Source organism: Homo sapiens, chromosome 3 (genome assembly GCF_000001405.40).
Source record: "Homo sapiens chromosome 3, GRCh38.p14 Primary Assembly".
Lineage (NCBI taxonomy): Eukaryota > Metazoa > Chordata > Mammalia > Primates > Hominidae > Homo > Homo sapiens.
In genome coordinates, this window is record NC_000003.12 from 189,960,501 (window position 1) to 189,973,334 (window position 12,834).

Here is a 12,834-nt window from a genome sequence, read left to right on the forward strand (position 1 = left end):
CTCCCTAAAGAAATTGATCTTTTAAAGCTTTTTTTCAAATGCCATCTCCTCAAAGAAGCCTTTTTGGATTGCTTTTTGATATCCCTCAAACCACGCATTTGCTGCTAAGGATTCTTACCAAAACTTGCCTTGTGGTTTAATTAGTTGGGTCCTTGTATTATTTCTCCAATTTGACTTCAAGCTCCTTGAAAATAGGAATTATATCCTACTAGTGTGCATTCCCCATAGGCGGTCTTTAACACAGTGCCTGCGCACAGTAAGTTAAATAAATAACTATTTTATGAATTGAAAACAAAGCCCCTTTCATGCAAGAGCTTGTAATAAAAAATGTTTACAAAAAGGCAACTAAAAGGACTAGATATACTAAATAACAGAAAATTAAGTTGCTGCCACATCTAAATAAAAAGCCCAAGTACTACTTTACAAATATAAGGAAAACAATCTTTTTTTTTTTTTTCAAGACAGAGTCTCACTCTGTTGCCCAGGTTGGAGTGCAGTGGTGCGATCTCGGGTTACAGCAACCTCCACCTCCTGGATTCAAGTGATTCTCCTGCCTCAGCCTCCCCAGTAGCTGGGATTACAGGCATATGCCACCATGCCTGGCTAATTTTTGTAATTTTAGTAGAGACGGGGTTTCGCCATGTTGGCCAGGCTGGTTTCGAACCCCTGACCTCAGGTGATCTGCCCGCCTCGGCCTCCCCAAGTGCTAGGATTACAGGACTGAGCCACCGTGCCCGGCCAAGGAAAACAATCCTGATACTTAACAAATCGACACACATACAAAGCTTTCACATCTGTTGACCACAAGAAATGATTGTAATCTTGTTTCTCATTAAGGGAAAGAAATTCAAGAGCTGGAACCAATATATATGAAGCTTCGAACATCCTTGCATCCTTAAAAGGATGTTGCTAAATACTCCTTGAGAACTGAGACCCTTTAAAGTAATTCATAATAAGCATGAGAATCGGCCAGCTCTAATGACTTGTTCATAGGTAGGCATTTTTTTTTTCTGAGATTCAATCTGCAAAAAGACGTCTAGGCCAGGAACTCCCAAACTCTGCTGCTGCACGTTAGAATCACCTGGGGAGCTCTTAAAACTCCTGAAACACAGATGTTAGTAGTTTGTAACGATCAATAGATGATCTCCACGTGTAGCAAAGAATGATTCACAGCCTGGGCTAATTTAGCTGAGGAAAAAGTTCTGGTCATTTCCCACTGTGGCCACTAGATGCCGCTACGGCCTGAAGACTGGAGAGGTTTTCTAGTACTTTTCCATCAGAGGAAGGGACGCTGGCGTTGATGTTTCCTATTACAAAGGAGCAAAGAGAACTTACTTTGTGTTAGCTTATTTTGAGAGAACAATACCTTGGAAAAGGGAGTTTGGATACTGAATGATGAAATAGATTAAATGTCTGCTGAATTGAATACTAGAATAGTGAGGTAATATTTCAATAATTTTATCTTCACTGTCTACCCATTGACATAGGTTCCTTAGTTTAAAAAAAAATGCTTTGATGGAATGCTAACATTTTGGAGATGGAAAATACCAGGATATAAAGTAATGATAGGGGAAGGCAATTGTTTGCTGCTCCCTTGAGGTTTTCAGGACTCTGTGCTCTGGTCCTTTTGTCAGGGCCTTTCTTTCTTTTTCTTCTTCTTCTTTTTTTTTTTTTTTTTTTTTTTTAAGACAGAGTCTCACTCTTGTCGCCCAGGTTACAGTGTGGTGGAGTGATCTCAGCTCACTGCAACTGCAGCCTCCACCTCCTGGGTTCAAGCGATTCCCCTGCCTCAGGCTCCCGAGCAGCTGGGATTACAGGTGCGTGCCACCACGCCAGGCTAATTTTTGTATTTTTAGTAGAGATGGGGTTTCACCATGTTGGCCAGGCTGGTCTCCAACTCCTGACCTCAGGTGATCCACCCACCTAGGCCTCCAAAAGTGCAGGGATTATAGGCGTGAGCCACCACGCCCAGCCAGGGCCATTTTTTCTATGCCTGGCTATCGTCTTTGCTTCTAGGTCTGAGCTTATAGAAGTCTTCCTTGATTCCCTGCTACAAAACATATACTGTTCTCTTCTTACAGCGTATTTACTAGCTGTTCTGTCCAAGCTCCTCATAGTCCAGGACCTTGTTCTGTTCACCCTTCTACCCCTAGGGCCTATCTAGCAGAGTTTCCAAGGCAGATAATAATAGCTCTTCTGTACAATAAAAGGTCACAATAGGTCTTTTGTAAAATATGTGAAAGAATGGCTTAGGGAATGTGGGGAAACACTTTGTAAGTTAGATTTGATGGTGAAAAGTATATGAGAAAAACGCATTATTTTTAAATAGTTTCTGATGAAATTGGATTCAACTTAGGAACCTAACAAGGAAAACTGGATAGAATGCCAGTTTTAAGAATAGAATTTCATAGCTTCATCAATACTTAGGGCTGGAGAAGATTTGGAGGTCATCCAGTTAAGCCTCTGCTACGATGTTTTAGATTCCATTTCAGCGTTCCATGCTAAGCAGTTGCCTGGGCTTTGATTGGAGCCATCCAATCAGTGCTTCCAAAGCAGACAATTCTGCCAAACTGTGGTGACTATTTGAAAGTTATTCCTTGTGTGGAGCCCAAATTTTCCCTCCAGGGCTTCTACCCATTGGTCTTAATTCATACCGCTGCAGCTCCACAGGTGGAGACTATGACATCTGCCCACGGGCTTCCAAAACGATGAGATCATGGTCTCCTCCTAGCTAAGTGTCCTCAGCTAGTTTGCATATAATAATATTGAAATACTTAATGTAATAACAGTAATAAGTAATAATAATCTTTTAGGTTTCCTTGCCCTCTTTCAAATACGTTTCATAAATGATTCAATACTATTTCTTATGATTTGCGAGAAAACAAATCCGTCTTCTGGGTGACCAATAAAAAGTGATTCCTCCCTGATGCCACAGAGTTGTTTTGGTTTTTGTTTTTGTTTTGAGACAGAGTCTTGCCCTGTTGCCCAGGCTGAAGTGCAGTGGTGCGATCTCGGCTTACTGCAATTTACGCCTCCCAGGTTCAAGCGATTCTCCTGCCTCAGCTTCCCGAGTAACTGGAACTACAGGCGCATGCCACCACATCCAGCTAATTTTGTATTTTTAGTAGAGATGGGGTTTCAGCATGTTGATCAGGCTGGTCTCGAACTCCCGACCTCAAGTGATCTGCCCACCTCGGCCTCCCAAAGTTCTGGGGTTATAGGAGTGAGCCACCACGCCCAGCCTTACAATTTGTTAATAAGCTCAAGACAGATTAGTGACTATCAAATATCATTGACACAGCTATTTCTACAAACATCTTCACTTACTAGAACATATCTGATTAAGAACTGCCTTTACCCTCTTCTTTTCCTCAGACGAAGCAATTTAAAGGACTTCTCAGATAAAGCAGTTCATGAAGCAAGCCTAATTGGCTTTCTGGGCGGGTGAGAAACTCACCAATTCTCTATAAAGTGGGTCCAAGGTGAACCACAGAGCCACAGCACACCTCTTTCCCTTGGTGACTGCCTTCACCCCATGAGGGTTCTCTCCTCCAGATGAGAAGCTGATCATGCGCCCACATTTTGGTTTTATAGAGGCCTGAGAAAGAAAGCAAAAATTAGACTTTCAATTGTTGTATCATAAACATTTCCACAACTCCTGCTTCTCTGGCTATGAGATTATTTGAGTTAAGGCCTGAGGCGAAGAATAAAGGAATCCTGGGATTGAAGATGATGTAAATTATCTCAATTTTCTCACCCGTAAAACAAAGGTAAGGTCAAAATAATATATACCTCAGAAAATAAAAAGATGTTCAAGTAAAACGTGTAGCAAAGTCCACATACATAGTAATCATTCAATACATGCTATATATATGATAGCCTGCAAATTCAAAGAAGGCAAAGTTTTCCTCTCATAATTCATTTCTGTAGCTTTTGCACTAGCAAAGCATCCGGATACAAGGTAGGTGTCCATTCCATACTTGTGTAATTAACAAACAAACAAACAGGACATCTGCAGTGCTGGAAAAGTTGTTATTGATCTAGGTAGTGGTTACATGAGCGTATACGCTTTCTAATTTTTAAATTGTACATTCATGGTTTATGTGCTTTTCACAATACAAACATTTTTAAAAGTCATAATTCTGTATGATATTTCATTTCCTTTACACTATTGTTTCCCAGTGGTCGTTTAGGCATTGTTTGAACATCTCTAGTGGTGAGAACACGACACCCCTTGGAGTGGCCTATTCGCCATCACCCTTAAGTGTTTTAAGACTGACACAGTCCTTCGCAGCTTATGCACTGCTCAGGTGGAGCTGTCCACAGCGTTTAGGTAGAAGAGTGTAGTGAGAGAAAAAGAAATACTGCTGGGCTCACTGAGCCAGGGTAGAAGATCAAACAAGCTGCCTCTTCAAATTGAATGAGCTTAAGCAACTGAATATTAGAGGCCTTGCTTCTGTGTTTAAAGAAGTGTCTCATGTGAGTAGAATCCATTTTGTCTTTCTTGGGAAATACAGAAACTTTATTCATTCCTCTGTATAGTTCAGAAAAGTAAAGTAAAACCAAAAAAAAGTGGCACTAGCCATTTTACTAGGTGAGAACATGGACTGGTTCTCACTAGCCATTTTCTGAATTGACTTGAGTTGACATATGCCCGTAAATCTTTGGTTTCCTTCTGCATAAAATGAGCTGGCTGGTTTTTCACTGCTAGCTTCAGGAAGAATATTTGAAAAATTTCCTAAAGTCCTTGGTTGCTACATAACATAGGTACTCCCGGACTACGTGACTACATATGGAAGGTAAGAGGTAGGTGGAGGAGTCGGAAAGCCAGAGAGACAGGTGGGTGCATATGTGTTTATGTGGGCATGTGTGTGTGTTTATGTCTGTGTGAGTCTGCATGTGTGTGTATATGTGACTTGTGTGTGAGTGTTAAAGGGAAGAGCAGAAAAAAAGCAGTCAGTTTCTTTTTACTCTTCTACTCACAATAACTGAAGAGTGATTTGTCTTTGCTGGAATTGCTTTTCCTAAACAGCTTTACCAAGGCAACTGTTCTGATGTAAATCTAGAGAGTTCACGAGTTAGTCGTGTCCTCAGTATCAATGTGATTCTGTTTTTCTGGAGAAGGAATTTGTACATTTCCACATAGAAGCAGCAAAATAAGTGAAAGGTAAAACCTGTGAAGTAGGATAGAAAAGACTTCTGAGGCCGGGCGTGGTGGCTCACGCCTATAATCCCAGCACTTTAGGAGGCCAAGGCAGGTGGATCACCTGAGGTCAGGAGTTTGAGACCAGCCTGGCCAACATGGTGAAACCCCGTCTCTACTAAAAATACAAAAATTAGCCAGATGTGTTGGTGGGTGCCTGTGATCCCAGCTACTCAGGAGGCTGAGGCAGGAGAATCGCTTGAACCTGGGAGACGGAAGTTGCAGTGAGCTGAGATCGTGCTACTGCACTCCAGTCTGGGTGACAGAAAAAAAAAAAAAGAAAGAAAGAAAAGAAAGAAGAGAGGGAGAGAAAGAAAGAAAAAGAGAGAGAGAAAGAAAGAAAAGAAAGAAAGAAAGAAAGAGAAAGAAGGAAAGAAAGGAAGAAAGAAAGAAAGAAAGAAAAAAGAAAGAAAGAAAGAAAAAGAAAGAAAGAAAGAAAGAAAGAAAGAAAGAAAGAAAGAAAGAAAGAAAGAAAGAAAGAAAGAAAGAAAAGCCTTCTGAGTAAATGGCCTTGGGATGTTGGAATTTCAGGTTTTCTGGGCTGCCCACTCCCTGGTGCTGGTCAGGACTCACTCAAACACGCATTTGCCAATGTTTCTATGTGATTACCAAGTCTTGGTAACATCTTATAAGACTAAAGAAAGGATGTGGGGACAAATTAGTATTTTCTTTCTTCTGGAATTGAAAGTAATTTTAAACATGAATAACTTTGGGAAAGTTTAGGAAAAGAAGCTGTGAACTGTATGAGGCGGTTGGAACTGATTATAGCCGTGGATTCACAAGGATCTCTAAGACCCATCTCATCACACAGCGAACATCATCTGTTACATGTCAGGTATTTGGAGGAATAAACAAGCTTTAGTGAACCTGCTTCCATGTGTGACATTGTTTCTACAGCAAAAATATGTTATGAAGTTTGGATAAATGATTATAAACATACTTTTGTAACACAGCCCCGTTTATACTGAATTTAATTTTTCATGAAACAAATGGAACTCATTAAATTTTATCTTCTTTGAACCTGCACAGAGAAACCAACATCCTTGAATTCCCAAGTCTCACAAACAAATGCCGCTATTGAAAAGAATCCACATATCTTCCAAGTATACTAAGCATAATTTAAAATAATCCTTTTGCTTTCCGTCTAACTGATGATTGATTTAGAAAAGCGTTTGTGCTGTAATTGTCTTTAATAAAAGTAAAATTTCAGCCACCTTTCAGATAATTACACAACTTCCAGATTTTTCCAAAGTAAAGGACTCAGAAGACGTTACTTCCTTATGTGGCCTCAAGTTATGCCATTTCTCTGCTCCATTTGTCCCTCCACAGTCAAAGGGAAACTAAAACAGAAAAATACCCATTTCTGTTGCTGTTGTTGTTGTTGCTGGTACTAGAATAAACTTCCTGTGGGGAAAGATAAGAACTGCCTTACGTAAGAATTTTAGTTATCTACGTTATTCCCTAAAATGCCACTGTATGCATTAATATGAAGTATTTGAGGAAATAAATGTTCTCAAACAGGAGCTTTTGGATTAAAAATTTGTTTAAATCAGTTTTAGTTTTTTTAGGGGAGGTTAGATTCTGGGTTTTTAAAAATAGTTATAGATTTTAATTAAAATTGTAGCACTCTGAAAGGAGAATATTATCTGCTTTCACATCTTTAAAAAGTAGAATTCCAGTTAACTTGACATTCAAAAATTAATGAAACAGGCATCCCTTGCTTTAAGCATCAAGCATTTCCAAATACGGCCACTAGATGGAGGAGAAGCAAAGAAATCTTTTCAACCACCTGTCTGACTTTCTTTGAAACTGCGAAATGCCAGTATTTTTGTACCTCAGTTTCAGTGTTAGCAGAGATCAGAAATAAAATGCTTCCTACACTCAAGCTTTCCCAGAAGTGCAAAAAACCTTCTGGACTTTAAACTCCAATACAGATCGTCAATCTTGATTTAATTTATCAGATTACGGAGTATTAAAGTACTCCCATATTAACATTTAAGCTTTTTACCCAAAAAGTGAGGCATCATGACTTTTTAACATATATTATTGTATGAAGTCACATGAAATATTTTTTCTTAGTTATTACAATGTTTCTAGACAATTTTAACGAGAATCCTCATAGGAATCACCTTTTAACCCAGTAATACATACTTTTTGATATTACCTGCTTATATCACAGTACTGTGTGATGAATAACATATGTGTGTCATAAATGACAGATATGTTTCACTAATGAGAAAAGCATGTAAGCTATGAGGGACAAGCATAAAATTCAAGAAAAGTTTAGAAATAGCTTCTATAATGCCAAAACTTTGAAGTTTATCACATACATGTCCCAACTACTTAGATTTTGTATGGTGGTGAGAGATACCTGGTCATCTATAATCTGCTTACTTTCTCAATTGGAAATTTTTTTATTATTATTATACTTTTAAGTTCTAGTGTACATGTGCAGAATGTGCAGGTTTGTTACATAGGTGTACATGTGCCATGGTGGTTTGCTGCACCCCATCAAACCATTATCTACATTAAGTATTTCTCCTAATGTTATCCCCCTGACAGGCCCTGGTGTGTGATGTTACCCTCCGTGTCCATGTGTTCTCATTGTTCAGCTCCCACTTATGAGTGAGAACATGTGGTGTTTGGTTTTCTGTTCCTGTGTTTGTTTGTTGAGAATGATGGTTTCCAGCTTCATCCATGTCCCTGAAAAGGACATGAACTCATCCTTTTTTATGGCTGCATAGTCTTCCATGGTATATATCTGCTACATTTTCTTTATCCAGTCTATCATTGATGAGCATTTGGGTTGGTACCAAGTCTTTGCTATTGTGAACAGTGCCGCAATAAACATACATGTGCATATGTCTTTATAGTAGAATGATTTATAATCCTTTGGGTATATACCTAGTAATGGGATTGCTGGGTCAAATGGTATTTCTGGTTCTAGATCCTTGAGGAATTGCCACACTGTCTTCCACAATGGTTGAACTAATTTACACTCCCACCAACAGTATAAAAGCATTCCTATTTCTCCACATCCTCTCCAGCATCTGTTGTTTCCTGACTTTTTAATGATCGCCATTCTAACTGGCGTGAGATGGTATCTCATTGTGGTTTTGATTTGCATGTCTCTAATGACCAGTGATGATGAGCTTTTTTTCATATGTTTGTTGGCCTCATAAATGTCTTCTTTTGAGAAGTGTCTGTTCATATCCTTCTCCCACTTTTTGATGGGGTTGTTTGTTTGTTTTTCTTGTAAATTTGTTAAAGTTCTCTGTAGATTCTAGATATTAGCCCTTTGTCAAAAGGATAAATTGCAAAAATTTTAAAACAGAAAACTGGGCTATATTCTTCAGGCCATGGAGGGTTTTTGACCATTCCATGGATCCTATCTGAGGTATGGCAGTGAGCAGTAAACTTTTGGCTTTACTAGCATTTTCTTTCGGGGTCTGTAAGTCCCGGTCCACCAAAACTGCTTCCTCGTGCTCCTTCCAGCAGTCATAATCTGTCACCATGGCAATACTCGCATAACAAATTCCAGCCTCTTTAGTGAGAACCACCTCTGGAACTGTGGTCATGTTGATAACATCCACCCCCCAGGTGCAGAACATGAAGCTTTCTGCTCAAGAGATAAAACGAGGTCCCTCAGTTGTGACCATTGTCCCCTTTGAATGTCACCAGAGTCCTAGCTTCTTAGCAGTCTCTATAAGAACGTCTCTCGTTTGGGGGCTTGGCCCCCATTGGAATATGGCACACTCCTCTAGCACAACAATGACTTCCATCATAGAGGGACTGAGGTCTCATACTGGTCCTGTCAATGAACTGATCAATAATGACAATATCGCCAGGTTGAATCTCCTCCCTCAAGGAGCCACAAGCTGTGGTCCCTATGACATGTGTACAGCCCTCTTCCTTCAAAGCCCAGATGGTCGCCTGGTAGTTGACCTTGGAAGCCAGGATGGTGTGCTGCCTCCCATGCCTTGCAAGGAGGACACAATCAACATTTTTTATCTTCCCCAAAATTAAGACATCAAATGGCTTGCCAAATGGAGTATCCACATATTTTTCAGTTCTTCCTTCTAAAATTTCTGGATCATCCAGGCCTGTTCCACCAATTATTCCAATCTTCATGGCAGTGGTGGTGGTGCTTGAGGCCATGTCCGCACAGGAAAGGAAGCTGCAGTGGGCGAGCACTCGGGACTAAGGGAATGAAGTGGGCCAAAGAGCGGCAGCAGTCGAAAATATATTTTTCTACCATTGTGTATGCTCTTTGGCTTGAAGACCAAAGGATGCTAACTATATGGTCTTTAAGTAGGCTTCTTTCCAAAGGCACGGGTTTACTTAGGAAGATGGTCGTTGAATTGAACTTTTGATTTACTCTTTGTTTACATATTTGTGTGTGTGTGTGTGTGTGTGTATCAATTTTCAGGTATGAGTTTATTACATACAGTCACAATCATATATCTCTCTATGCATATATATATGCAAATATATATATATATATATATATATATATATATGAGGCCATGTCTGCATGGGAAAGGAAGCTGCAGTGGGCATATTTATATGTGTGTATATATATTATATATATATTTTTTATATATATAATATATATACACACATACCTATAGGTATATATACACATACACATACATACACACATATATGATAATTTTGGTAACTATATATTTGAAGGCCAATGCTCAGTCCAAGTACGTAGAACACCAGGTTACTTGAAAGACACCTTGTAGAATCATTTGACTTATTCTAGACTTGGGTGACTTAGGAACTGACGTTCTTACGTTTCCATCAGATTACTTGACAAAGAATTAGAAGACCTAGGTTTTGGTTCCAAGTCTAACACTAACTAGCTATATGATCATGATAAAATGATTAATATCTCAATTCTTTAATTTACTCATCTTTACAACGTACTAGATTTTTATGGATACTTCTAACAGTTTATGATCTATACATTTACTGAAACTCTCTTAACCTCTTGAAATCTTGAGCTCAGAAGTATTTGAAATCTAACCATCTGTAAGTACTTAGAAAAATGGCAATACTGAGCTAAAACATACTAAATAAGTATTCAAGAATAGGTTTACTTACAGTCACAGTCTTAGCATCCATCTCTGTGAATATGAATTCTCCTCCTTCAAAGTCATCATTCATATATAGGAGAGCACTATAAGAATGAAGAGAAAACTATTTGTATTATTATATGCTTATGAGAGCATGGTCATAGAATACTGAAGACTGGTGATGTACTGTCCAGCCTCCATTAGTAAGTTTCCTTTGAACTAGACATTGATATAATTGGTCCTCCAAACTCTTAAAGAGAAGATCAGATAGAGTTTGAGTTATACCTCTGAAGAGTTTACTTATTCCACCTTTACTAAAATTGTAATCATATGTCAAAGCTTGTCTCACATTTCACTTCCTCCACAGAAAACCTAACTAGTTTTAATTTAATCTAGCCCTTTGAACGTGCCCACCCTAATTACAACTCTCTTTTTCCCTTATATAACTCTAAAGGATTTTTGTTTGTTTGTTTGCTTTGTTCTTGTTGTTGTTTTTCTCTTTAACTTGCTGAAGAGTTCCTTGTGGCCTAGCCACGCCTTGCAGATAGCGGGTGCTTAATAAATGTTTTGGAATCGAGTACAGTGTAGTAAGGATGAACACATGGTGACTATAACTCCTGATTCCTTACACACTGAAATCTCTCTCAATAGGTAAGGACATTCTTTTCTCCTGAGTTTCTAGTGTCTTATTTATAAAATGCAGACATAGTTCTTCTTGGGTATGAATAAAGATAATTGATGTGATAAAGTCCTTATGTAGGCCAAGACTCCATGCCCTTGTATTCTGACTGAAATACATATACCACAAGGAATATGTTCCAGGGAGAACAGGAATTTTTTTAAAAGAACATAAAATTTACTTTTCATATTAAAACAAAATGGACATTTTGTGAAATGGGATGCAAACTGTGCACAATTTTTAAGATAAAAGTGAGATGATAATGCCACTTATTGGTTATGGCAGCTACTTCAGAAGATTATTTGAGAATTTCTGCCTTGGAGATATGAACACGACGTCAAGCAAAACAGAGCACCTTTCCAGTTTTCACTGCTTGAAAACTGTTAGGTAAAAGCTTTGTTTTGAAGCAGGTTCTAGCTATACCTATAGTCTCGAAATGTGTAAGCAGGAGGCTCCTTCCAGCATTCGTTGGCCTCTGGATCCAACAAACAGTTGTCAGCATGGATGGGATGACTGAGGTCATTTCTTCTATCCTGCTGACCTGCCAGAAAAGGGAATAGGGAAGAACGAGAAATGAAGTGCAGCAACTTCCACCAAAGTAACTGACAATCTCTCTTCTCCCAGTCCTGATGATCTTTGCAAATGGGCAGAGGCAGACAACAGGAAAGAACAGATAAAAGAACAGTGGACAAGTAGTTGAGATTCTGGTCTGGTTCTGATATGAACTGGATGTGAAACCTTGAGCATGTCACACCTGTCTCTTCAGCTATAAAAGTTATTTCTGATATAAACATACATGAACAAATTCCATGCGTTTCATGGGTTGTACTTCACATAGGGCAGCAAAACAATGGGAAGGAAATGAAAATTTTTTAAAAAAACAAGATTTAATTCAGCTAAAACTTCCCAAGTGTAAAAGTCTACTCCTATGACATCATTATTCCCCCCGCCCCATTCAGAGGGGCATAAGACATAGAGGAGAAATAATGCTGAGCAGGGACCGAGAAGGTCCCGGTCTTTTTAAGAGTATTTCTTTCAATCATCCCTTCATCTTCTATGCTTCCACTTAATGCTGGTAGACATCATGGTGACTATGATTTCCATGTTCCTGATTCCTCAAAATGGGAAACCTACAGCAGAAAAGCATTTTTTTTTCCCAAGACTTCAGCAATTGGGGAAAATTGATTTGGAAGGGAAAATGTTCAGAACGAGGGTTTTCTGGAACTTCAGAAGAACAAAAGGAAGAAAAAGAAAGAAGCAGAATAAGAGTTCATAAGCTACTTTTGTTTTGGAAATCTAGAATTCGTCTAAAATATTAATCTACCATGCTGTTGAGCTTTGTTTTGCCTTGTTTCATTTCCCAATGTATTGTGGGTAAAAGGGAACCATTTCAGACTGCAATCTCACCAGACAGGGCTGTTCGGCAGACCATGTGTGTATAGGAAAAATACAGAGTTGAGTTCAGCATAAAATAAGATTCTACAATCCTTCGAGCCTTTTCGCTGATGTCATAAAACAGACGAGCGCTCTTCAGTGGGACTCGACCTTCATAACCAGACTGAAAAAAAAAAACAAAACATGAGAAACAAATGGGTTCATTGGAGGTCGTAAGAAAAACAGGCACTAGCTTGCATTGAGCCAATATAGGATTGTCATGTCTGTATTGACTAATGGGGAAGGCTACTACATATTTGTGGATTTCGGTTAGGACATTGTGCCATTGGAATAAACTCTTCCCAATAACAGATGGAAAGCTAAAAGCTACTTGGTTCCTCTTCTCTTCTATTATAATATGTTCTACCATCCTCTCTAACAACCCTTCCTGCAGTAGAGAATAATTACTTGTTTGAATATGTTTTCACTATTAG

The 12,834-nt window shown here is 38.9% G+C and overlaps 1 protein-coding gene and 1 pseudogene across 2 annotated transcripts in view; both read right to left on the minus strand.

Annotated features, from left to right (window-relative positions):
- Nucleotides 1-12,834, minus strand: part of P3H2 (prolyl 3-hydroxylase 2) — a 165,551-nt gene that overhangs the window by 3,773 nt on the left and 148,944 nt on the right. For both annotated transcript variants that reach the window (NM_001134418.2, NM_018192.4), the window contains exons 11-14: nucleotides 12,374-12,524; nucleotides 11,390-11,507; nucleotides 10,316-10,391; nucleotides 3,458-3,598 (exon numbers count right to left, since the gene is read on the minus strand). In NM_001134418.2, the coding sequence (NP_001127890.1) occupies nucleotides 3,458-3,598; nucleotides 10,316-10,391; nucleotides 11,390-11,507; nucleotides 12,374-12,524 (486 nt within the window). The remainder of the gene's footprint in view (nucleotides 1-3,457; nucleotides 3,599-10,315; nucleotides 10,392-11,389; nucleotides 11,508-12,373; nucleotides 12,525-12,834) is intronic.
- Nucleotides 8,530-9,439, minus strand: MTAPP2 (methylthioadenosine phosphorylase pseudogene 2; annotated as a pseudogene).